The 26,097-nt window shown below is 45.1% G+C and overlaps 1 protein-coding gene and 1 pseudogene across 5 annotated transcripts in view, besides 4 other annotated features; one reads left to right on the top strand and one right to left on the bottom strand.

Annotated features, from left to right (window-relative positions):
- Positions 7,781 to 7,830: an enhancer, noted in NCBI's record as "active region_19699". NCBI's record gives its function as "activates an Ori minimal core promoter by ATAC-STARR-seq in GM12878 lymphoblastoid cells {active_cell/tissue: GM12878}" and the evidence as "EXISTENCE:reporter gene assay evidence [ECO:0000049][PMID:35858748]".
- Positions 8,633 to 8,792: an enhancer, noted in NCBI's record as "active region_19698". NCBI's record gives its function as "activates an Ori minimal core promoter by ATAC-STARR-seq in GM12878 lymphoblastoid cells {active_cell/tissue: GM12878}" and the evidence as "EXISTENCE:reporter gene assay evidence [ECO:0000049][PMID:35858748]".
- Positions 8,833 to 8,972: an enhancer, noted in NCBI's record as "active region_19697". NCBI's record gives its function as "activates an Ori minimal core promoter by ATAC-STARR-seq in GM12878 lymphoblastoid cells {active_cell/tissue: GM12878}" and the evidence as "EXISTENCE:reporter gene assay evidence [ECO:0000049][PMID:35858748]".
- Positions 9,013 to 9,082: an enhancer, noted in NCBI's record as "active region_19696". NCBI's record gives its function as "activates an Ori minimal core promoter by ATAC-STARR-seq in GM12878 lymphoblastoid cells {active_cell/tissue: GM12878}" and the evidence as "EXISTENCE:reporter gene assay evidence [ECO:0000049][PMID:35858748]".
- The window catches only part of CX3CR1 (C-X3-C motif chemokine receptor 1), a 29,473-nt gene continuing 14,383 nt past the window's right edge, over positions 11,008 to 26,097 (top strand). The window contains exon 1 of one of the 5 annotated variants that reach the window (XM_047447538.1): positions 11,008 to 11,182. Coding sequence is in view for 1 of the 5 variants with exons in the window: in NM_001171174.1 (NP_001164645.1) it covers positions 22,279 to 22,365 (87 nt within the window). In the remaining 4 variants the exon portion in view is untranslated. Of the gene's footprint in view, positions 11,183 to 22,238; positions 22,366 to 22,700; positions 22,932 to 23,532; positions 23,726 to 23,937; positions 24,021 to 26,097 lie in introns of those variants that run through there. The other 4 variants (NM_001171174.1, NM_001171171.2, NM_001171172.2 and 1 more) reach the window with 4 other exon arrangements.
- Positions 16,076 to 17,240, bottom strand: ADAD1P1 (adenosine deaminase domain containing 1 pseudogene 1; annotated as a pseudogene).

Below are 26,097 nucleotides of genomic sequence, written 5' to 3'. Positions count from 1 at the left end.
AAGATACTTGATGTGATTACAAGTTTTTAAAACTTTTTGAGTTGTGTGTGTGTGTGTGTGTGTGTGTGTGTGTGTACCAACATATGGCCGATCCTGGAGAATGTTCCATGTGCTGTTGAGGAGATATATATTCTGTAGCTGTTGGGTGAAATGTTCTGTAAACATCTATTAGGTCCCTTTAGTCTAAAGTTTAGTTTAAATACAACATTTATTTGTTAATTTTCTATGTAGATAATCTATCTAACACTGAGAGTGGGATGCTGAATTTCCCCAACTATTTTTGTATTGGGGTCTGTACCCTTTAGATACCCCTTCAGATCTAATAATATTTGCATTATATATCTGGGTTCTCCAGAGTTGGGTGCATATATGTTTAGAATTATTATATCCTCTTTCTGAATTAATCCCTTTATCATTATATAGTAACCTTTTGTTCCTTTTTCGTGTTTTTGACTTAAAGGGTTGTTTTTTGTTTGTTTGTTTTTTGTTTTTTTTTTGAGACGGAGTCTTGATCTGTCACCTAGGCTGGAGTGCAGTGGCACCATCTCAGCTCACTGCAAGCTCCACCTCCCGGGTTAATACCATTCTCCTGCCTCAGCCTCCTCAGTAGCTGGGACTACAGGCGCCCGCCACCGCGCCCAGCTAATTTTTTGTATTTTTAGTAGAGATGGGGTTTCACCATGTTAGCCAGGATGGTCTCAATCTCCTGACCTCGTGATCTGCCCGCCTCAGCCTCCCAAAGTGCTGGGATTACAGATGTGAGCCACTGCGCCCAGCCAACTTAAAGTCTGTTTTATCTGTTACAAGTATAGCTACTCTTGCTTGCTCTTGGTTTCTGTTCACAAGGAATATCTTTTTTCCTCCCTTTACTTTCAGCCCATACATGTCTTTACAGATGAGATTGGTTTGTTTCAGGCAGCACATAGTTTGATCATGTTTTTTATCCATTCAGCCAGTCTATACCTTTTTTATAAATGTATATATTTATTTGTAGAGGCAGGGTCTTTCTATGTTCTCAGGCTGGTCTTGAACTCTTGACCTGAAATGATGCTCCCACCTTAACATCCCAAATTGCTGAGATAACAGTTGTGATCCACCACACCTGGCCAAGTCTATATCTTTTAAGTGGAAAGCTGAATCCATTTACATCCAAGGTTTATTATTATTGATATGTGAAGGCTTATTTCTGTCATTTTATTAATCAATTTCTGGTTGTTTTGTACATCCTTTGTTCCTGTCTTTCTCTCTGTTTATCACTGTAGTTTGCTGGTTTTCTGTAGTGGTAACATCTGCATTTTCTCTTCCTTATTTGCTTGTTTTCTTTAGCAGTATTTTATATTTTCATGTGTTTTCATCATGGTAGTTATCATCTTTTCTTTCCTGGTATAGGATTCTGTTAAGCATTTCTCTTATTGGACCCATCTAGTGGTGATAAATTTCCTCAGCTTTTTCTTGTCTGGGAGTTTATTTCTCCTTCACTTATGAAAGATAGCTTTGCTGAGTATAATATCCTTTGGTTTCATTTTTTTTCTTTTAGCTCTTTAAATATATCATCCCTTTCTCTCCCCGCCTGTAAGTTTTCTGCTGAGAAATCCACAGTTAGTCTGATGGGGGTTCCCTAATAAGTGACTAGACACTTTTCTCTTGCATCTGTTTTCAGAATTCTCTCTTTGTCTTTGACTTTTGACAGTTTGACTATGATGTGCACTGGAAAAGACCTTTTTGAATTGTTTCTATTTAGGAAACTGTATCTGGATGTTTGAATGTTTCTATATGGGAAACGCTATCTGGGTGTCTAAATCTCTTGCTAGGTTTGAGTAGTTTTCAGCTATTAATCAATTAAATAAGTTTTCTACCCCTTTTATTTTCTCTTTGCCTTCTGAGACACCAAACATTTAAATATTTGGTTGCTTTATGGTGTCCCGTATGTCATGTAGGTTTTATTCATTCTTTTTTATTTTGATCTGACTGGTTTATTTCAAAAAAACCTGTCGTTAAATTCTGAAAGTCTTTTTTTAATTTAATTTTTTTTTTGACAGGGTCTTGCTCTTTCACCCAGGCTGGAGTGCAATGGCGCAATCTCAGCTCATTGCAACCTCTGCCTCTGGGCTCAAGCAAGCCTCCTGCCTCAGCCTCCGAAGTAGCTGGGACTACAGGCATGCACCACCATGCTTGGCTAGTTTTTGTATTTTTTTGTAGAGACAAGGTTTCTCCATGCTTCCCAGGCTGATCTTGAACTCCTGGGCTTAGTCAATCTGCCCACCTTGGCCTCCCAAAATGCTGGGATTACAGGCATAAGCCATTGTGCCCAGCCCAAAATTTTGTTTTTTAATTTTTGTGGGAACATAGTAGGCATATCTATTTATGGGGGTACATGAGATATTCTGATGGAGGTTTGCAGTGCATAATAATAACATCATGGAAAATAGGGTATCCATCTCCTCAAGCATTTATCCTTTGTGTCACAAACAATCCAATTATGCTCTTTTAGTTATTTTAAAATGTACAATTAATTTTGACTATAGTCACTCTATCAAATACCATATATTATTCATTCTTTCTATTTTTTTGTGTGTACTCATTAACCATCCCCACCTTCCTCCACCCCCCAACACACTTCCCACCCACTGGTAACCATCCTCCTATTCTTTATCTCCATGAATTCAACTGTTTTGATTTTTAGATGACACAAATAAGTGAGAACAGGTGATGTTCGTCTTTCTGTGCCTGGCTTATTTCACTTAACATAATGACCTTCAGTTCCATCCATGTTTCTGCAAATGATAGGATCTCATTCTGTTTTATGGCTGAATAGTACTCCATTTTGTATATGTATCACATTTTCCTTATCCATTCATCTGTTGATGGACACTTAGGTTGCTTCCAAACCTTGGCTATTGTGAACAGTGCCACAAGATGGGAGTGCAGATGTCTCTTCTATATGCTGATTTCCTTTCTTTTGGGTATATACCCAGAAGTGGGATTATTGGATCATTTGGTAGCTCTATTTTCAGCTTTTTGAGGACTCTCCCAGCTGTTCTCCATAGTGGTTATATTAATTTACATTCCCACCAAGAGTGTACAAGAGTACCCTTTTCCCCACATCCTCTTCAGCAGTTACTGTTACCTGTCTTTTGGATAAAAGCCATTTCAACTGGGGTGAGATGATATCTCACTGTAGTTTTGATTTGCATTTCTCTGATAATCAATAATGTTGAGTGCTTTTTCATATATCTGTTTACCATTTATATGTCTTATTTTGAGAAATGTGTATTCAAATCTTTTGCCCATTTTTAATTGGATTATTAGATTTTTTCCCATAGAGTTGTTTGAGTTTCTTACACATTTTTTATTAACCCCTTGTCAGATGGGTAGTTTGCAAATATTTTCTCCCATTTTGTAGGTTGTGTCTTCACTTTGTTGATTTTTTCCTTTGCTGTGCAGAAGCTTTTTAACTTGATGTGTTTTTTTGTTCATTTGCCCATTTTTGCTTTGGTTGCCTATGCTTGTGGGGTGGTATTACTCCAGAAATTTTTTGTCCAGGCCAATGTCCTGTAGAGTTTCTCCAATATTTTCTTATAGTAGTTTCATAGTTTGAGGTATTAGACTTAGTCTTTAATCCATTTTGATTTGATTTTTGTATATGGTGACAGGGGTCTAGTTTTATTCCTCTGCATATGTTTATCCATTTTTCCTAGTACCATTTACTGAAGAGACTGTCTTTTCCCCAGTGTGTGTTCCTGGCACCTTTGTCAAAAACAAGTTCACTGTAGGTGTGTGGACTTCTTTCTGGGTTCTCTATTCTGTTCCATTGGTCTGTGTATCTGTTTTTATTCCAATATCATGCTGTTTTGGTTTTCATTGTTCTGTAGTATAATTTGAAGTCCGATAATACGTTCTGACTTCAATTATGTTCTTTTTGCTCAGGATACCTTTGGATTTCTAGGTCTTTTGTGGTTCCATATAAATGTTAGGATTCTCTTTTCTATTTCTGTGAGGAATGTCATTGGTATTTTGATAGAGTCTGCATTGAATCTGTAGATTGTTTGGGGTAGCATGGACATTTTAACAATATTGGTTTTTCTAGTTCATGAACATGGAATATCTTTCCATTTTTTGGTGCTCTCTTCAATTTCTTTCATCAGTGTTTTATAGTTTTTATCACAGAGACTTTTCACTTCTTTGGCTGAGTTAATTCCCAGGTGTTTAATTTTATCTGTGACGTTGTAAAGGGATTTTAAAAATTTCTTTCTCAAGTTGTTCACTGTTGACATATAGAAATGCTCTGATTTTTTATGTGGATTTTGTATCCTGCAACTTTACTGAATTTGTTTATCAGTTCCAATAGTTTTTTGGTGGAGTCTTTAGGTTTCTCCAAATATAACATCATATCATCTGCAAATAAGGATAATTTGACTTCTTCTTTTCTAATCTAAATGCCCTTTATTTTTTTCTCCTGCCTAATTGCTCTAGCTAGGTGAAATTCTTTCTTCTGCTTGATCTAGTGTACTGTTGAAGCTTTTGAATGTATTTTTTATTTCATTCAATGAATTCTTTAGTTTCAGAATTTACACTTGGTTCTTTTTTATGATATCTATCTTTTTGTCAGATTTCTCATTCATATTCTGAGTTGTTTTCCTGATTTCTTTGTATTGTTTATCTGTGTTCTCTTGCATCTCACTGAGCTTCTTTGATATTATCATTTTGAATTGTTTTCTGTGATTTCATAAATTTCTTTTTTCATTGGACTGTGTTGCCAAAGTATTGTGTTCCTTTGGAGGTGTCTTTTTTCCTTGCTTTTTCATGTTCCTTGTGTCCTTACATTGTTATCTGTGCATGTGATGTATAAGTCACTTTTCCTAATTTTTTGAATTTCCTTTTATAGGGGAGGAATTTTTCCTGAAAATGTACCTATTGTGTTGGTTGGGTAAGGCACTTTAGCTTTGATTCTGAGTGTGTGCAGTAGTGTAGTCACCTATGATTTCTTCAGCTGTAAACATCACCCGTGATGTCTGTGATTTCCTCAGTGGCTTAGGGTGCAGTTATTAGTGGAGGCTGTGGTGAAGTTTTGTTGGGGTTGGGGACACCAGGTGGGCCAGTCCTGAGGCCCTGGTGGGGACATTAGCAGGCTGAGTGTGCCTATCCTTGGGCCCCAGGGTGACATATACCAACACTGTTTTTAGTGGGTCCAGGTGGGCTGATTCTTGGACTCCAGGTGGCTTGCTTAGGAGCCAGTAGCTGCAGTGGCAGGCTGGGCAGGTTGGCAGGTCTTCAGGCTCCTTGGCAGCAGGCATACTATAGGCCATTGCAGTAGCAGTGGTAGGACAACCCTCAGGCTCCCAAACAATTTGCACTGGTGTTGGTGGTGGCTGAGATGGGTTGTTCAGGAAAGTGCCCAGGCCAACAGGTTGCACGTGGGGTGGTATCAGCTGTGGTGATGATAGCAAGTTGGGTTGGCCTGCCTTCTGCCTCCCAGGAGGCATGCTCAGGTGCCAATGATGGTGGATGGTGCTGGCTGATCCCCAGAACCCCAGAGAGCATGCTTGGGCACTGCAGGCATATGGAGCTGGGCCAGGCCGATGGGTTCTCAGGCCCCCGATGGTGTTTGCAGGCACTGGCTGTGGTAGGCAGGGATGGGGTGATTCTGGATCCCTGGTGAAATGCTCAGATTGGGGCAGCAGTGGCTGAGCTGTGGCCCTGCTACTAGGATGGACAGGGTTGCTTTCAGTGGCAGCAGCCATAGTCAGGTGGCTGGGGAGTGCACGTTTCACCTCCAAGTGGCAGCTGCAGTCAGGGTAGCCTGTCCTCCAGGTACTTGTAAATGCATAGCAGCTCCACTGCTGGGGGCAGGAGGGTCACTGCCAGTGGCTTACACTTGAGTCCTGGCAGCAGCCCCCAGCAGTGTCCTTTTGTCCTTTTAAGCCTAAAGGTGGCAACAGATTGTTCTGCTACCACCAGTGGCACAGTAGTAGTGCAGTTACTACTGTGAGGTTTAGGTTACTGCACTAGTCCTTGTGGTTCCTCGACTTGCCCATATCTGTATAAGTAGCCCTTTATAAATAAACCATCCCTGAATTTTCCTAAGTGTGTTATCTATTTTCACTGACATCCATACTAGACATAGCTATTGTGCCTCCCCAGGACTCCTCAACCCTGCTCGCCTTCTGAACCTTATCTGCTTGTTTCCAGACACAGCATTCCCAGGTGGCTCATGCAATCTCCAGGATTGTCAAGTCTAGGCCTCCACCTTCCTTGTCTCATTTCCCCAGGGATGACGGCTGGGCTTTGGCACTGCCTCCATCATGCCCACAACACTGGGAGACACAACAGCTCTGGTTTCTAGGCCTGATCTGCCTGGACCCATGGAGGCTCTGATTTCCCCAGTGGCTAACTAGAGAGCCTAGGTAACACAACCTGAAAGTTCAGGGAAGTTAATGCTCCATAAAGAAAATGTTGACCTGGCCGGGAGCGGTGGCTCACACCTGTAATCCCAGCACTTTGGGAGGCTGAGGCGGGTGGATCACCTGAGGTCAGGAGTTCAAGACCAGTCTGGCCAACATGGTGAAACCTCATCTCTACTAAAAACACAAAAATTAGCGGGGCATGGTGGCAGGTGCCTGTAATCCCAGCTACTTGGGAGGCTGAGGCAAGGGAATCACTTGAACCCGGGAGGCGGAGGTTGCAGTGAGCCAAGATCGCACCATTGCACTCCAGCCTGGGGGACAAGGGTGAGACTGTCTCAAAAAAAAAAAAAAAAGAAAAAAAAGAAAAAAAAAAAAAACAAAGAAGAAAACGTTGATCAAAGAGACATAAGAGAAGAGAAAGGGGTGAGGAATGAATTGTTGTCCTTTGTTTCCACAGCCAACAGTTCCAAGAAGCAGTGGTTCCAGGGGCTTTTTAAGCTTCTTAGAGACAGGGTCTCACTCTGTCACCCAGGCTGGAGTACAGTGGCATGATCATGGCTAACTGCAGCCTCGAACTCTTGGGCTCAAGTGATCCTCCCACCTCAGCCTCCTGAGTAACTGGGGCTACAGCTGTGTGCCACCACACTCGGCTAATTTTTTAAATTTTTTGTAGAGATGGGGTCTCACTATGTTGTCCAGGCTGGGTCTCAAACTCTTGATGTCAATTGATCCTCCCACCTCAGCCTCCCAAAGCATTGGGATTACAAGTGTGAATTACTGCAGTGGGCCATTCCATGGGCCTTTTGCAGAGAGCCTGCATAACCAGCTACATTTCCTGCTGTAGCTATGGCCAGCTCAGGAATGCACCACTCTGTGTTTGCTTTCCTCTTTCCCTGCCTCACTTCACTTCTTCCTGCACTTTGTTCCTGTTGAATTTCACATTCTGATATGGCATCACCATGCAGGCTTTGCCTCAGCCTCTGTTGCCTAGGGAAGGAACTAAGCAAGCCCTGATGGAAATGGTGCTATTCCTTGAGGCCCAGTTGTAACGCACATTCCTCCAGAGGGGACTTGCCTTTACTTCACCCAGTACTCTGGGGTACTTCCAACCTGGGACCTCTGTGTTTGATTGGCTTTTTGGCCACACAGGAAGTGTGAAATTCAGCCCCAATATGCATGAACACAGGTTTGTGGCTGAGAGTTCTGGAGAGGACTTTTCTTTTTTTCTACTCACTGGAGCCAAAGCCAATGTAGGCATCGTTATATAATTTCCCCTCTGTGTGGAAATGAGACTGGGGTGGGACTCTTACTTCACTTACAAAGGGAGCTCCCCTTTGGGGATACTGGTTTTGTTTGGGCTTCAGATAGAATCTCACCCTTCCTAGCCCAGAACTTGTCTTTGTCTTCCACGTTGCAGGCACATGACCCATGAAGGCCAGGCTCCCGGCCTTAAGGGGCCACAGAGGGCCCAGGGTGAATGTGAGCTCCAGCCTTTCCTTCACCCAGCAGATTTGCATTCTGCCTCTGAGGATTTTCTTCACCTTTTTTCCAGATCAACCATTTATTTAAAAAGGTATTTTTGAGTAATTATCCAGCATCCTAGGTGTTCTATATCAGGAGGGGGTCCTCTAGACATTCTTACACCTCTATTATCTGGAAATTGCTTCTTTTCTCCTTTTTTCCCCTCTCTCCCTCTTTCTTTTCCACAGGCCATAGTCTTCCATCCCTCCCAGGATATGACATTGGTATGTCTCAGAGGCTTCCAGACAGACTCACTGGAATTCAAAGTTCTGCATCCACCCTTAGCCTAGCTCAATACTTCATGCAGTACATCTACAAGAGAATGCCCTGTCTCCTAGAACTGGGTGATCTGGCAAACAGAGGGCATGCACACCAGCGGTGTAGAGCTGGAGAGGTTCTAGGGGAGAACATGGTCACTTCCTCTTATTGTACACAGCAGCAAACTGAGGCACAGCATGTTAGGGCTCAGCACTCCAGCCAGCCAGAACCTGCTTCTGACATACAGCTGTGAGAAGGGTTAAAAGAATGACTAAAAAGCAGTTTTTAAAATAGCTGTCAATTTCTACTCCCAGTCAATCTGTGCACAGCTCTTATTCACCGTGAAGCGAAAACATATACAATGTACTATTCACTCAAAGTGAAACTCCAAATGAAGTCATACATTGAACCCCAGTATCGCCCATTGTTAGGAATCAATGACCCTGAGTAAATGGAGTTTCATGAAGCCTCTGTGTGCCAGCTGTCCATGGGAGGGGGTTTCCAAAGGCCTTTCTGGTTGGTCCTGCAGCCTAGGTGTCACTTGAGTGGGTATGCCTTTGTGGCCTGGTCATTCACAGTGTGGAATCTTCAAAGCCTACCAGTGCGACGTGAGTTTTATGTGCAAAGCTGAATTCAAGGAACCCTTGAGATGGTTCATGCAGTTTTTCCCTCTGAGCCTCCAGTGATAACTCCAGACAGCACAGGGTCAGGTGTTGCCCCCTGTGTCTGGCTGCCTTACCCCTTGCCCAGAACAAGAGTAGGGCCCACAGACATTTCCCAGGACACTGGGGAGCCTGTCATGTGGACTTCCTGGCTTCATCCTTCCCCCAGCCAGGGCCTCTGACCTCTCCACTCCTGTGTCCCTTCCCCCAGGAGGATCTCTGCCCCACTCAGTATCCGGCAGATCCCTTGTTATTCTTGTGCTTTTAGAACTTTTGCTGTTTTTGGCCAACTTGAATCAACATTACTGTCTCCTCGAGCGTTTCTCTGCCAGGCAGGGGACTAGGAAAGCAGGACTGCAGGGCCTGCTCATTGGGTTCTAAGATGTGGGTGAATTCGGAGTGGGGTTGTGCAGGGCTCCCACTGAGAGGAGGGCAGGGGCCCCTTGTGAAGTGGTTAGCTCGTCTTGTCAATAGGTCCTCAGAACATCCCTTTCAGTCTCTTCTCAAAGAAGCCCTTTCAAACCAGGCCCTTGCTCTTCTGTGATCGAAGTGCTTGACTTTTTCTGCTGTTGCTCACATCCGGCCTGTCAAGGTTGTTTTCTGCCAGCCTGGTCGTCCATGCACCCCATACTATTCTCATGGACTCATACCCGTGAGGAATTGGGAGGTAAGGGCAAGCACCTCAGCACGCTGTGTGGGACCCCTAGGGTTGCACCTGGGAGGAGCAAGGCCACACGGACCTGCTGTCAGCTCCTATGCTCCCATCTGGCTGGAACCAACCCCAAGCTTGGGGTTCAGTGCCCCCGGCCCATGCACTCAGCATCTACACCCATCACCCACCTGGCCTCCTGGTCTTCTGACCCTGGGATCTCCCAAAGAACAGAGCAGAGCCAAGGCTGGCCAGGATGAGCGCAGTCTCTCTGAGATGGGACCTGAAAACAGGGGCACCCTTGGCAAGGAAGGAGGCACACAGAGTGGGAAGCAGCCAGGCCTGGCTTCGAGTCCTGCCTGGGCACTCCCCCACAAGGAGACTGTGGGCAAGTGACTTCCCTTCCCAAGCCGCTGGGCTGCTCCACAGCAGAAATGTGGCAGTGGCGCACCCCTGAAGGTTGCCGTGGGGAGTGAGGATAAGGCATGCAGAGTGCCCGGCTCAGACTGGATGACGACGACGGCCAGTGGCAACTTCTCTCCTAATTGTGCAAGCAAGCAGTCATGGACAAATCCTTGTGAGAGTGACTGTGTGTACACCAGGACACAGCTGCACAAACACCATCCCTACCCTCATAATGCTCCAGTTTAGTGGGGGAGACAGACATTAAACACATCCACACATAAGAGGATGGTGATGAAGTGTCATCAATTTCACAAAGAAGAAATAATGGACTGAGATAATTGACAGAGTGGGGGACCTAATATAGCTTAGGGGGTCACAGGAGGTCTCTATAGAACAGACTTGCTGCCTAAGGAGCTACCTAAGTAGTGAGGATGGAGGGGAAGGGGTCAAGGCTGGAGAAAGCTTAGGGCGTTTGAGAACTGAAATGAGTTCATAGTGGCTACACGTACCCGGCCCATGTAGGTAATTTAAAATTTCCTGGTGTGATTGAAAAAGCAAAGGGAAATAGGTAAAGTTAATTTTAATAAGATATTAAATGTAAGGCATCTAATGTAAGGCATATTATATAGTTTCATCATGTCATTAACATAAAAATTATTAATGAGATAGTTTACATTTCTTTTTAAATACTGAGTCTTTAAGAATCTGGCAAATATTTTACATTTATATCACATTTCAACTGAGACTAGCCATATCTCAAGGGCTCAATAGCCACATGTGGCCAGTGACCATCGTATTGGACAGCACAGCTCCGGACATCATAATATTGCAACCACTACTCCCAGGAAAGACTGGTTCACTGGCACAGGCTTCAGACACCTGCCAGAAGTGCTTTAGAACAATATTCCAGGAAGCAGCTAGCACACACAGCAGCTTTACGTGAATTACAGCCAGGTTAGGTCATAGGCTTGGCCTAGAGCTTGACCTAGACCTTAGTTCACTCTCATAGTACAGCAAGTGCATACCCCCTCTCGGGGGCCCTGAGTATGCCCTCATTAGTCTTTCCAACATTTTTACCCCAAAGAACTGACTGTAACTGGTCTTTTGTTTTGTTTTGTTTCTAGCTATATCATTACCTCCAGATATTGAAAGAGGACATCTGAACCTGTGTGATGTTGTAGAAAGAAGATTGTCTAGGGTGTCAAAGCAGACAGATGCCAGTTTGTGCTCATCCTTTACCAGACTGGTGCCTACAGTGAGTCACACTTGTTAAGTACAGTGTGGTAAGTAAGAATTCAGGTTCCAGAGTCAGACTGCAGCTCCAGTTCCTGAACTGTGTAATTTGGGAGAGACACTCAGCTTTTCTGAGCCTCCTTATCCTCATCCGTAAAATGAGGACAATTACTAGCATTGCTGGAGGATTAAACAAAATAATAAATAGAAGGCACTTACTTAGCACAGGTCCTGGCACATGGTAAACATTTAATAAACAGTGTCTATTACTATGTTTTAACTGTTATTATCTCTGTGCCTCTGTTTTCTTGGTTTTCAAGTGGAGACAATCATCCCTAAAAAACCCTGCTTTGCAGGATTCTGTGTGGCTTATGAGAGATGAGGAGTATGAAAACACCTTGTAAAACCAGGAGGCCCTTTACAAAGTCAGAAGCAGCTCCTCGGTGCTACAGTCTAGTTGAGGGTCTGACTTTAGGAAGTCACAAGGAACTTAGAAATGGGAAGGGGCTTCCACCTGACAACAGCAGCTCTGCCACTGGACCGGGTCTTCCAGCCTAGCTCCACCACTCTTCTCATGGGTAAACTCTGCCTTCATCTCTGTTTTCTCATCTCTCACACAGGCTGAGAACACCCAGCTCTCAGGCTGCCGGGCTGAGGGTCAAATGAGTCCCTGACCATCACGTGCACAGGGCCTGACCCAAGGCAGGTGCTCAATCCCTGGCACTTGCTCTTGTTGCCTTAGAGGGGACCTTGCTGCCCACACCCGTCTCAGCCCAGACCTGGAGCAGCACTTCATGTGATTACCACAAGGGGGCGCCCCTAAGCTTTCCATTCACTGGAACCATTTCATTGAACCTGTCATTCAGCCCTTCCTTCCACATCCCTACTGCTATCCTAGAGCCAGGAGAAAGCCCTTTAGAAAGGAGCTCTGCAGACCCCGAAGGCATCTGCTGTAGGTTCAGTGACTCTTAGAGAAACAGCCCTGCTTTCCAAGGCCAAACACTGCATGTAGGTAAATTTGTGACCTGTGGTGGCCCTCCCACCAACCTATCAGCTGAGTGTCTTCAAGTTACTTCTCTAACTTTCTTGGGCCTCAGTTTCCTCACCTGAAAGGAAGAGTTGGAAATAATCACTCTTGGTGCCTGTGGGAGTGCTTTGTAAACCATGGAGTGAGCTGCACATGTGTTTCATAACTGTCCTTTTCATTGTTCCTATAAACCAAAAAGTATCTGAGACAGGTCTCAATAAATTTAGAGACTTAGTTTGCCAAGGTTAAGGATGTGCCTCCCAAAAAAGGAACACAAAATCCCAAGAACAACCTGTGATCTGTGCTTTTTTCCAAAGAGGATTTTGAGTGCTTCAATATTTGAAGAGGACAAGTAGGCGGGAGGGGAAAGAGGGAGCGTATGGTCACATGTATGGTCACATGACTGAATCTACATGTTGCACGTGAAAAAAGGCAGAATACCAAAATAGTCAATTATGGGCTGGGCGCAGTGGCTTACACCTGTAATCCCAGCACTTTGGGAGACGGAGGCTGGTGGATCACTTGAGGTCAGGAGTTCCAGACCAGCCTGGCCAACACGGTGAAACCCCATCTCTACTAAAAATACAAAAACTAGGTGGACATAGTGGCAGGCCCTTGTAATCCCAGCTACTTGGGAGGCTGAGGCAGGAGAATTGCTTGAACCCGGGAGGTGGAGGTTCCAGTGAGCTGAGATTGCGCTATTGCACTCCAGCCTGGGCAACAAGAGTGAAATTCTGTCTCAAAAAAAAAAAGAAAAGAAAAGTCAATTATTTATTCATCTGGTGTTCAGCAAATGTTTACGTAAGATAAAGTAAGCATAGGGCAGCTACCTGTGGAGACACCTGGCCTTCTATCTGACTGTTATTTTTTTGTTGTTGTTTATTTATTTGTTTGAGTCAGAGTCTCGCAGTGTCCCCCCAGGCTGGAGTGCAATGGCGCGATCTCAGCTCACTGCAACCTCCGCCTCCCAGGTTCAAGCAATTCTCCTGCCTCAGCCTTCTGAGTAGCTGGGATTACAGGCGCCCACCACCATGCCTGGCAAATTTTTTGTATTTTTACTAGAGACGAGGTTTCACTATGTTGGCCAGGCTGGTCTCAAACTCCTGACCTCGTCATCTGCCCACCTCGGCCTCCCAAAGTGCTGGGATTACAGGTGTGAACCACTGCGCCCGGCCCTATCTGACCTTTTATCTGTAGCTATATTCTTAGGAACAAAAGGAAGGCAGTTTATTCTGTGACTCAGCTTCCAGCTTAATCTCTCCCTTTGGCATAGTGAATGAAGGTCCCGAGATTTTATTTTCCTTTTACATTCACATTTAGCAGATTGTACCACTTGGGATTCCCTAATATGAAAAAAGAAAGTGAAAACTTGCCTGTCAGCTGCCAGACTGTGATGTTCCCACACACTGTGACCATGTTTGGAAAAGGCTCAAAGAAGACCACTCCACAACCACAAAACTAAACATCCCCACCTCTGATCGGCATGAGGGATTGCTGCTTCTTTAGCAATGATGACTCTAGCCCACTTCAATCCCCCCAGATAAAATCCACTAAGACACTCAGTCACTGAACTGCCCCTGTTTTTTGACAGTGCCTGATCTAGAACTGCCCCTGCTTCCTGAATCCTCCCTTAGACGTGTCCAGCACAAGCCCCAGCTCCCCATTAAGGACATGCTCCCTGGTTCCTTTGACATGTGTCTTCCCTTGCCGCAGTAAGCTAAACAAACCTAACTTTTAAACTCTAGATGTTCCTCATGGTCTTCAGCCCACAAACTATGAGAAATAATTTCACCCTGATTAATTGACATTAACTTTGGGGGTCAGTCTCCTTGGGCTTTCATAACAAAATACCACAGACTGGGTGGCTTAAACAATAGAAATTTATTTCTCACAGTTCTGGAAGCTGGAAGTCTAAGATCAAGGTGTCAGCAGGCTTGATTTCTCCTGAGGCCTCACTCCTTGGCTTGCAGATGCCGCCTCCTTTCTCTGTGCACATACATCCCTGGTGTCTCTCTCTTCTGATAAGGACACCAGTCCTGTTGGATTAGGGTCCCACTCTTATAACCTCACTTAACCTTAATGACCTCCTTAGAGGCCTCATCCCCAAATATAGTCATATTGTGGGTTAGGGCTTCAAAATATGAATGGGAGTTGGGGGAAACATAATTCAGTCCATATACTTGGATTTTAATTTTTTTCTAAGAATAGTTAAAAGGCCATTCAGGAGAGGAGAGGGACAAGATTGCCCACCAGTTTCAAGTAGAAAAGGGAGTTGTCACTCAGAAATTTTTGCCAAGCAAGTGGAGTAAGAGGGAACCAGGACCAGAAACAGTGCAATGAGTTCTGAAGGGACAGCTGCGCTTCAGCAAAGCTCCAGAGAGCCCAGAAGGAGGCTACTCTGAGAGGCTCCACTAATGAGTGAGGCTCTTCTACCCTCTTGACCCTTTGTACAACTTGGTCCCTCTCCTGGCACATCCTGCCCAGGTGAATGCATCCACCAAGACTCTTAGGAAGAGATTGCTCCTTCTTTGTATCCCCGGAACACAGATTTCTATTACCCTCATTACCCTACTCAGAGCACCATATGAAGTGCTTTACACATGTCACCATTAATCCTCATGCCGACTTTGCCATATAAGTTTACCCTGATTTTTTTTTTTTTTAGATGGAGTCTCACTCATTGCCCAGGCTGGAGTGCAGTGGTGCGATCTCAGCTCACTGCAACCTCCACCTCCCGGGTTCAAGTGATTCTCCTGCCTCAGCCTCCTGAGTAGCTGGGATTACAGATGCACGCCACCATGCCTGGCTAATTTTTGTACTTTTAGTAGAGATGTGTTGGTCAGGCTGGTCTCGAACTCCTGACCTCAGGTGATCCGCCCGCCTCGACCTCCCAAAGTGCTGGGATTACAGGCATGAGCCACTGTGCCCGGCCTGCCCTGATTTTAACAATAAGGAAATTCAGGCTTAGAGAAATATCTCGCCCTAAGCCACACAGCTTGAGAGTAGCAGGGTCAGGATTTGAACCAGGAGAGTGGGATTCCAGGTAATTGTGGGCCGGCTGGCTCATCACAAAACTGTAACCCAAAGGCTTGCCAGATTTGCCTGCACACACCACTTCCTCTGGGGAAATGCAGCTACCACAGATGACTGTCAGCAAAGCCAAGTGTTTTGAGTAAAACCAATGAACCAGAGGGGAGCTCTGAAGCCAAAGGGCTGCCCACCAGGTGGGGCCATCTCTGCTGATTGGCTGCTCCGCCTGCTGCTCCTGGACCTGGGGGTTGCTGGTGAGAGCCAGAGACACCAGGAGGGGGAGACAGAGCTCAGGGGATAGAGGCAAGGCAGCTCACTCCTGTATCTGATGACTGTAGATTACCTTAAGTTTCCTGAGCTACCTGGAAGAGTGGAAGCCAAAGCGAGACCATTAAGGGAAAGGGTAGAGACCCTGCCCTATTCATCTTTGTATCCTTAACAAACAGCCCTGAGCAGAAGGTAGGCAGGCAACATGTGCTTTCTAAATACCTGGCAAGTGAGTGAGCAAGGGTCAGGTTGGAGATGCATTGCTTGTGTACAAAAGTGTGACACATAATAGCGGCAATTACCAATAACTATTAAGCAGTATATGGGGCAAGTGATGGTTCATTTGGGAATAAAGAGGCACTTTTGTTTTAGTCTGCAATGAGCCTTTTAGGACTTCTGCCTCAACATACTGAGGTTTAAAAATAATTCAACCCAAGCTAGGTTCCCAGAGAATGACAGACACATTTTCACATATGAATCACAGATGGATTTCACTTATTTAAAACACACACACACACACACACACACATTAAATCATCTCTCTCACACACACACATACGTGAGCTTTTGAATATGACAACTGTTGCTTAATTCACATCCTAAGTTGCTTCCTTTGGTGAAATGTCACCATCCAGGAATTATAGCCATGTTGCCGAATGTGTGATTTCAACAAACATCAGCTTCTTCCTGGGACCCAGACATACACTTAAGCTATAGAATATGTACTGGCTTCAAGGAAATATACCTCTCAGCCTCTTTTGCATGTGGGTAAAATTAACTCAACATTGTAGATTTACAAAATCTTGATCATTGATCTAAAACACTTTTGAAAGGAGAATACGTGAACCTTCCATTTGACCCATTCAAATTATTGAAATATATACCTCCTTGTGCCCAATTCAGTTTCAAGGATATTCCAAATTTGTCGAAAATAAATGTGCTGAAGGCACTAAAACAATCTGAAGTCCGTTTACCAAGCAGAGTGTCAGAAACTTTGGAGTGAGCATGGCATCTCCATTTGGCTCTTTCTAAATTGAAATGTTACTGCAGGTTCCATCACCAAGTGTATTGACCGAGTGAAATGACTCAGCACTGCTTGCTGGACACCAAACACTCCCTCCTGGCCAAACGGTCACTTGAGGACCTACCACCTGCTCTACCAACTACATCTGCACGACAGTAAACAGCAAAATAAATACCTTCTACAGCCACATATAGATTAGGTCTTCATTACCTTAAACATAGATAAAACTGTGAGTGTGATTTATATAGACAAGAGTCTTTTGGCAGCTAGATCAAGCAGAAATAAATATTGATATTTTGTTTTAGAGTCAAGGAGATTAGAAGCTGGCTCTGAATAAAATACAGATTGTTTTACTTAGCACAGCCATTTTGTTGTTGTTATAAAAGAATAGAGATGGACAAAAGTACCTAAGAAAGGGCTTCTTGCTATAACCACAGGTTGACGGCTGTGCAACACTCTCCAGCCCGGCTTCCCTGTATTCACTTGTAGCCACAACTACAATTTCATACTGTTTAAGTTTTCATTGACAACGGCAGCCAAATATCTGCTTATTTCAGATATTCTGAATGCTAAGAAAGTAGATGGTCAGATGTTTCTTTCACAGCCTTTGCTATGTTTGCATCTTGTACTTTTGAAACAAGTTTCAGTTCAGGTAAAGGATTACTTAATCCTCTAAAGGATGAAAAAGTGTAGCTGAGGTGTCTAAAATTCTTGATTCAAGTTTGTCCAACTGAGAGAGTTTATCAGGAGCTAATTTGGCTCACACTGGACCCAGAATCCCACCCCCCAACTTCATTTGTGGTCCAATTATAGTCTTTTTTTTTTTTTTTTTTTTTGAGACGGAGTCTCGCTCTGTCGCCCAGGCCGGACTGCGGACTGCAGTGGCGCAATCTCGGCTCACTGCAAGCTCCGCTTCCCGGGTTCACGCCATTCTCCTGCCTCAGCCTCCCGAGTAGCTGGGACTACAGGCGCCCGCCACCGCGCCCGGCTAATTTTTTGTATTTTTTAGTAGAGACGGGGTTTCACCTTGTTAGCCAGGATGGTCTCGATCTCCTGACCTCATGATCCACCCGCCTCGGCCTCCCAAAGTGCTGGGATTACAGGCGTGAGCCACCGCGCCCGGCCCAATTATAGTCTTATATTAAACAGTATCCACTGCAGCTCCCAAATATCCATAAGATCACCTGTTATTAGTCTCTTCGTGTCAGTGAACCTGCTGCATTTGTGTCAGCAAGTGCAAGGCTGCCTCTGGACGTGTTCCTCACCTCTGCACTGTACTATAAGCCCCTTGGCTTTTGTTTTTGGAATGACCCTTTGAAATAAGTAAAATCCTGAAAGCAATAGTTTAGGAAATCTACCTGTCACTTCTGTAGTCATACAATGCCACATGTAAGGTTATCTTGTAGGTGCACTTATACCCTGGCCAGCTGGCTAATCTGGCAGCTTATTTTTCAATATCTGGCCAATGATACAGACTCATGAGTTCTGATACTTTATTGCCCTAGTTATTTAACGTTATATTATCTGTACAGCGAGGACAGAAAAGGCTGTTTTAAAGCTGTTTGTGAGAGACAACTATTATTTTCCTTATTTTTTAAAGCAGACTCTCCATAATATCAGCAAACAATATAAAGACATTTTGGCAATTAATTTGAATTACCTGTGTATTTCAAAGGGCTAAAATGGGCATGTTTTAAAATTCAAGATTGTAGTTCATTTATTCATTTTCCATTATTCTTCCATTGGTAAGTTCCACTTTAATGGAAACACATGCCATATTTGGTGAGAGAGCAGATTTTTTAATTTTTAATTTTTAAAAAATGACATATACTGTCTGCAGACAGATATTTTTAAGTATTGCAAAGCAAAAGTTGAATGATGCCTAAAAAATAGTTTATCCTAAGTACTCCTGGAGTTCCTTGCCAGATCCTGTTTGCTATGGTTCCAAAGGGGAAGTGCTTTTAATCACTGTTGAGCAGAATTTATGAAACAAACCTGAAAATTGCCACAGATGATGTTAAATGTAAACATTGGGACAGAAGGAGGTAGTAAATAGCACTTACTTTGTCTACATTTACTCCTCTCCAACTTTCCATTTTTCTTTTCTTTTCTTTTAAGAGTTGGAGTCATTCTTTCACCCAGGCTGGAGTACAGTGGCAGGATCACTGCTCACTACACCCTTGAATCCTGGGCTCAAGTGATCCTCCCATCTCAGCCTCCCATAGCTGGGACTACAGGTCGGCACCACCATGCCCAGCTATTTTTTTTTTTTTTTTTTTTTCTGTACCAATGAGGTCTCCCTATGTTGCCCAGGCTGGTCTCGAACTCCTGGACTCAAATGATCTTCCCACTTTGGCCTCCCAAGGTGCTGGAATTACAGGCATGAGCCACCTCCAATTTTCTATTGGCCTCTAATTTTCTAAGTCTGATCTTTTCTCCTCTTAGAGGGAGAAGATCTTTTGTCCTCTTAGGGTAGAAGAGGAAAGAGAGACTTTTTTTCTGCTTCTGAAATCTCCCAGCATATTGCTTTCGACTTGTCAATGGCAACACAGCCTTTGGATGCTCACTTGACCCTCAACGTGTCTGGTCCTTTACAATTCTATGCATTTTCCTGTAGCGAGATCCCTTCTCCGTCTTCCACCACCCACTGCTTTGGCTCCCCTCTTGCTGTTCCCTGCCTGCATCTGGGCAGGAAGTTCCAATCCTGACTTGACCCTTTTTCAGCTGTGTGGCCTAGGACTCATTGCTCTTTTCTCCCCATTTCATCATCTGAAAATGGAAAAAATAATACCTGACTAGAAAGTGAAAGTAAAAAAGAGATATAATGGACAATGTGCCTCGCACAGGGCCTGGCATGGAGAAGTCCTTGATGTACGTCTTTTCCTTCCCTTTTATGCAGCCGTTTCCCTCACACCCACCCATTGATTGATTTTTCTGAAGAGACTACTTTTGTCATGTCACCCTCTAATCCCCAGACTTTAAACTGGGAGGTAGCAGAGTGGTCTGATTAAGACCTTAGACAAGGGTTTCTTGTCTGGGCGCAGTGGCTCACGCCTGTAATCCCAGCATTTTGGGAGGCCAAGGTGGGCAGATCACTTGAGGTCAGGAGTTCGTGACCAGCCTGGCCAACGTGGTGAAACCCCATCTCCACTAAAAATACAAAAATTAGCCAGATGTGGTAGCAGGCTCCTGTAATCCCAGCTACTCGGGAAGCTGAGGTGGAAGAATAGCTTGAACCCAGGAGGCGGACCTCAGCACTTCTGCCTGGGTGATGGGAGTAAATCCTGTCTAAAAACAAACAAACAAAAAAAAAAAACTTAGACAATGGTTTCTCAGCTTTTTTTAATCACTCCCCAACAAGTCCTTTTAGATATTATATTCTTTTGTGTGTGGCGGGGTACATAGCGTGTGTATATGTTTGTAGGTTACATGAAATGCTTTGATACAGGCATGTAACGTGTGATAATCACATCAGAGGAAATGGGGTATGCATCACCTCAAGCATTTATCCTTTGTGTTACACACAATCCAATCATACTCTTTTAGTTATTTGTAAAGGTAAATTAAATTTTTTTTACTATAGTGCCCCTGTTGTGCTTGTAAATACTAGGTCTTATTTATTCTAAGTATTTTTTGTGCCTATTAACCACATTATATATATATATATATATATATATATATATATATATATATATATAATTTTTTTTTTTTTTTGAGATGGAGTCTCGCTCTTTCGCCCAGGCTGGAGTGCAGTGGCGCTATCTCGGCTCACTGCAACCTCCACCTTCCGGTTTCAAGCGATTCTCCTGCCTCAGCCTCCCAAGTAGTTGGGATTACAGGCACCCGCCACCACGCCTGGCTAATTTTTATATTTTTAGTAGAGACAGGGTTTCACCATTTTGGCCAGGCTGGTCTTGAACCCCTGATCTCGTGATCCACCCACGTTGGCCTCCCAAAGTGCTGGAATTACAGGCGTGAGCCACCATGCCTGGCCCACATTACATTCTTACTCACCTCCCCCTACCATGGAATTTTATTCCACAGATATGCTATTGGTTTAGCTACTATATGTATATCTGTGTTTTATACATAAAGCACAAGAACCTTCCAGAACCAATTTTCGCCACCTTGGAAGTAATACCACCTCTACTAAGAATGCACAGCATAGACCATAAAACCTCAATGCTAAGTTCAAATATTGGCCCTACCACACATGAGCTGTGTGGTCTTGTACAAGTTACATAACTTCTCCTCCTTGTCTCAAACTCCTCACATATAAGATGAGGATAATAATAGTACCTGCGGCCACACACAGTGGCTTAAACGTGTAATCCCAGCACTTTGGGAGGCTGCGGCAGAAGGATCACTCAAACTCAGGAGTTCAAGAGCAGCCTGGGTACATGGCGAAACTCTGTCTCTACAAAAAATACAAAAATTAGCTGGGTGTGGTGATGTGTGCCTGTAGTTCCAGCTACTTGGGAGGCTGAGGTGAGAGGATCGTTCGAGCCCAGGAGATCAAGGATGCAGTGAGCTATGATCATGTGGCTGCACTCCAGCCTGGATAACAGAGCCAGACCCTGTCTGAAAGAAACAAAAACAAAAACATTAGCACCTGCATCATAGGGTCACTGGGGGCACTACATGAGTTCATGTACATCGAGGACTTAGGACATTGCCTCAGGCAGACCTAGTGCTGCACAACTGCTTATGTAATTATTCCCAAATTTCTCCAGGGCCCACAGAAGAACATGGAAGTATCTTGGTTTGGCAATTAAGGTGAATCACATTCTCACTCTCCTTTTCTGCATCTCTACCCCACATTCCCACAAAGCTTTATTCACACCAAGTCTCCAGTCCTTGCCTGCATTGTGTGATGGGTGCCTGCAGTGATGGGTGGGGACACCCATCACTGTCCAGGGTGTCCCCACCATCCTCACAGCCTCTCTGTCTGGCCTCCTGCCTTTGAGCCAGCCCACCACACTCTCATTTCTCTGCCCAGCAGAAACCAAACTGTCCTCTGCATTTACTGTCTCAACTGGAAGAGAAATGCAGAATGACAAAGAACTTGTGAACAAGGGTCAGCTCCAACAGAGAGTGAAGCCAAAGGGGCTGGGCAGAAAGAGAGATGAAGACGGGGATCTAAGGAATAAGGCTGTACCAGAGTGAGAGTACGGGGGAGGGGTTGAACAAGAGTTCAGGGAGGAGAGAATTCCCAGCGCTGAGCCAGAGACTCCTTTACAGAGGCCCAAGGAGGCGTGGAGGGAGGGGGAAGGCTGCCAAGGCTCTTTCTGTCTCCATGAGTGTGTCAAGAATGCAAAGCACTAATGCTCTTCACTTGGTCCATCTTGCAGGGTTGAGTTTGCAGTGAGCAACCTTGAAGGATGAGCTGACATCTCGCTCAGGGCCAAATAACCGACTTGCTTACTGCTTGCTATAAAATGGCACGTTACCCAAGGTCAGAGTTCCCTTCCTATAACCTCCCCATCCCTCACACATTCACAGGTATCTATCCAAGCCATGGCATCACTCTGTGGGGCTTGGGGGCAAGGCAACTGACACTGGACGCTGGTTCTCATGCTTGCCAAGCATGAAGCCCTGTGCTGCTAGCAGCTGTGGAACATAGCCGTTAGCTTTAAAAGAGGGTAAAATCACGTCCTGGACAGGACAGCCAGGTGAGTTGGGAAGGGAAGAGAGCCTGCCACGGGCACAGGCATGTTGGGGGAAGTGGAAGTGGTGAGAGCACAGTAGGAAGTGAGAAGGGGCGGGCCGTGCTTACCAGGCCGTGGACTTAAACCAGGATGAGAGAACCCCTGGAGGCGTTTAAGTTGGCAGACTTGGATTTCAGGAAGAGCTCTCTGGCTTCTGGGTGGAGAATGGCCAGTGGGGTAAGTGGTGAGAGGAAAGACAGAGAACGGAGAAGGTTAGATGGGCTTGGGAAATTATCCAGGCCCTGGATGGAGGTAGAGATGTGTGCTCATGAACACGGAGGGGATTACTGATGTGGGGTGGATGAGACTGTCGTCAAGAGTGTGGGACAGGAAGAGAGGGAGAGTCTTGGCCAGATCCAAGAAAGGAGCCCTCAGAAGAGGAGGGGAGTCAGAGGCAAGGAAGGGGCTGAGGCAGCCAGCCCAGCTGAGTGGACCCCAGGAGAGGTATCAAGGGGTGGTGTGGGGTGGGGAGGGGCCAGTGTCAGAAAGTGGATGGGGAGCGGCCTGACTCTGCTTTTGTCCTGTGGCCTTCTGGCCAAAGGCAGGGAAAGGTGGCCAAACACTGAGACCAAGAACAAAGAAAGAAAACTGCTGGTGGACTTCTTCCACCATGAGCAGGCCACCAAGCCCGCAGCACTGCACTGCAGCCCCCAGCTCTGTCCTGGGGTTGGGGGAGGTGAGGAGGGGCAAGGTGGGGAGCACACAGAGCACCCGCTGTCCTCGGAACACCACAGCGACTAGAGGTAAGGGAGCACCGGATGTGGCTGGGATGTGGGCAGCAAGGGGCCAGAGGGGCCTTGAAGGGGTCACAGACCATTTAATGAAGGTGTATTGAAGGCCACCATGGGCCAGGCCCTAGTTAGGGATGGATCAGAATTATATAGCATATGCCAGGGGTCAGGCAGGTAATGAAGTGATCGGAAGGTGATGAGGCAGTGGCAGTTGAGATTCACGTTGCAGTCGCCCCAAGCTGGCCAGGCCAGGGAGCAGAAGCATGGCTGGATGCCGGAGCCCACCAGGCTCCCCACTGCAGGGCAAGAGTGGCAGGGGGAGAGACTGTGAAAGGAGCATAGGCCAGGTCCTGGGTGAAAGCTGTGTCCTCAGCCTTGACTGATGGGTATAGGGAGCCACTAAATGCCTTGGGGCAGAGAGGTGAGGAAAAAAATATTTACCGAGCATCTACAAGGTGCAAGGTACTCACTAGATGCCTTCAGTACCAAAGCTTCTCAAACTTAGTATGCATATCACTCTTCTAAGAATTTCATTAAAATGCAGATTCTAATTCAGCAGATATAGGGCAGGGCTTGAGGTGCTGTCTTTAATAAGCTCCCAGTGCCTGGGACTGCACTTTGAGGAGAAGAGCTGTGTGTGCCCCAGTGTGGTCCAGTGAGTACTCTGGGCTCCCTCTCGTGGGCAGGGAAGCTGAGGGCCCCATGAGCTCTCCCAGCTTCCTGAAGGCTCCCCATTAATGAGAGCTGACTGTGCTGTGCTTTGCTGACTGCAGGGCCTGCTCCCTGCCCCCCACCTCCAGGTTGGGGTAAGTGGCACCTCTCTCCCTCCAGCTCCGCAGTCTTCCCTGAGGTTTAGATCTTCCAGGTTTATAAAGTCAGGCCCTCCTGTTGGCAGCTGGCCTCCACCCTGGAGTATCTGAGCTTGCCTGTGGCAGCATCTAAAGATAGTCTCCCTTACAGGAAACAAGATACTATTGGCTAACTCTGCAAATAAAATGCTCTTAGAGGGAAGGAAAGGGAAATACTCGTCTCTGGTAAAGTCTGAGCAGGACAGGGTGGCTGACTGGCAGATCCAGAGGTTCCCTTGGCAGTCCACGCCAGGTAGGTGCACAGGACTAGTTGGGTACCTGTGGGTGGGGTGGAGCAGTGGACAGCTAATAGGTTAATAATGCCTGTTTGCTTACGTGCAGACAATGGAAACCATTTTCCTGGGGATGTTGTAGCCTAAATATGTCCAAGGGGATGGAAGAGTGGGAGGCAAGGGGTGATCAGATCATTTATAATACACTCAACCTGGTGGAATAGTATTAGAAGCATTAGTAATTACATTTTAGAGACATGGAGAAAAGCTCATGATTTTAAACTAACTGAAAAAAGCATGAAAAATTGCATCTGGATGCTGTTGAGGAATTATTGCTAATTTTTTGAGATGAGAAATTGTATTAAAGTCTTTTTCAAAAAAGAGTCCTTAACTTTTAGAGATGCACACAAGTGTTTATGGGTGAAATTAAATAATTCAGTAGAGACATTAAGTGGGAAATAGAGGAAATATTGACCATGGGTTGCTAATAGTTGAAGCCAGGTGTTGGGTATAAGGAGGTTCTCGCTGCTTTTATTTGAAAAGTTGCTTTTTATTTGAAAATTTAATAATAAAGAGTTTTTAAATTTGTATCTGTATTTTAATATAAATATAAATGCACTTAATATAAATATAAAATATGTATAACATTTAGATAGAGAAAAGCTAAAAGATTACTGTGGTTGATTCTAGGAAACTGCATTGCAGATAGTTTCATGGGTTTTTTTTTCCTTTTTCTTCCACTTTTTGTACCATCTATGGGTTTTTGTTTGTTTTTTGTTTTTTGGGTTTTCTTTCTTGTTTGTGTTTTGTTTTTTGAGACGGAGTTTTGCTCTTGTTGCCTAAGCTGGAGTGCAATGGCACAGTCTCGGCTCACTGCAACCTCTGCCTCCTGGGTTCAAGTGATTCTCCTGCCTCAGCCTCCCAAGTAGCTGGGATTATAGGCATGTACCACCGCCCGGCTAATTTTGTATTTTTAGTAGAGGCGGGGTTTCTCCATTAATAAATTCCTGGCACAAATTTAGTGTTCAATTTTGATATATGTTGTTATAACCATTGTGAGGATACTCAGGCTCAGGTTTGTGTGGGTGGAAAACATGGTCTTCAGAAAGAAATTATGAGTGCAAGACAGGAGGAAATCCATCAGAGGCCCCAGCTGAGGACTGACCACGGCTTGTTATTTCTCTTGCCTTGCCTCTGGCAATCACAGCCTCACAGAGCCTGCAATCCTTGCTTTGTGAGTTTATAGCTCAGTCCAGAGAATGGCTAAGAAAGTTTAGGATTCTTTCAACACCCACTCCACAAAAAAAAAAAAAAAAAAGAAAAGAAAAAAAAATTAATTTTTGAAATACTTGAGGTAGAAAACTTGAGGCAGAAAAAAATTGAGCCAAAAAAAAAGGAAAATTGAACCACGTGAAAGCAGGCAAGAAAGCTTGCATTGCTCAGGGCATCCCAGGCCCAGAGGGCGCTTTGGAGGGAGCTGGGTTTCCTGAGAGGAGGCAGGGTGGGTGACGGACCTGTGCTGGAGAGCCTTGAGGACCACTGTGGGTTGGGAATGGGGGCAGTGGATTGGGGTTCAAAACCCCTGGGAATGAGAAATGGGCTCAGGAAGGCTAGGGTGGATTCTTTCATCTTCCTCTTTGCTTGGCTTTATTTTCACAAAGGAAGGCAGGGCAGGAAATAGTCTCAGCCCAACTTCAGTGTGGTTCTTCTTAGTGCTCAGGCTTACCTGGCACTTGCCACACCTCTGGGATGGGAGCACCTACTATCCATCAGCCACGTGCCAGTCTCCACAAAGTCTGCTCCTGAACCCTGCTCCTCAGCTGGCCCCACTTCACAGATGGGGACATAGGCAGCTTGGCTTTGGAATGAAGGAATGAAGTCAGGAATGAAGTCCTGGCTCTGCACTTGGTGACTGTGCACTGGGCTTGCTAAGTCTGTTTCCTGCTTTTAAAATGGAGATTGTCCATCAGCCTTTGAAGCCATGTAATGGGTATGTGTCAACTTTCTGCAAGGATTAAAGGCATGGTATAGGAAGTCCCAAACACACTGCCTGACCCATCTTTGATGCTCAAGAAACGATATATGTTGTTGTCATGA

This window comes from Homo sapiens, chromosome 3 (assembly GCF_000001405.40).
Source record: "Homo sapiens chromosome 3, GRCh38.p14 Primary Assembly".
Classification (NCBI taxonomy): Eukaryota; Metazoa; Chordata; class Mammalia; order Primates; family Hominidae; genus Homo; species Homo sapiens.
The sequence above is the reverse complement of the archived record's forward strand: the minus strand, read 5'-3'. Positions and strand labels throughout refer to the sequence as shown.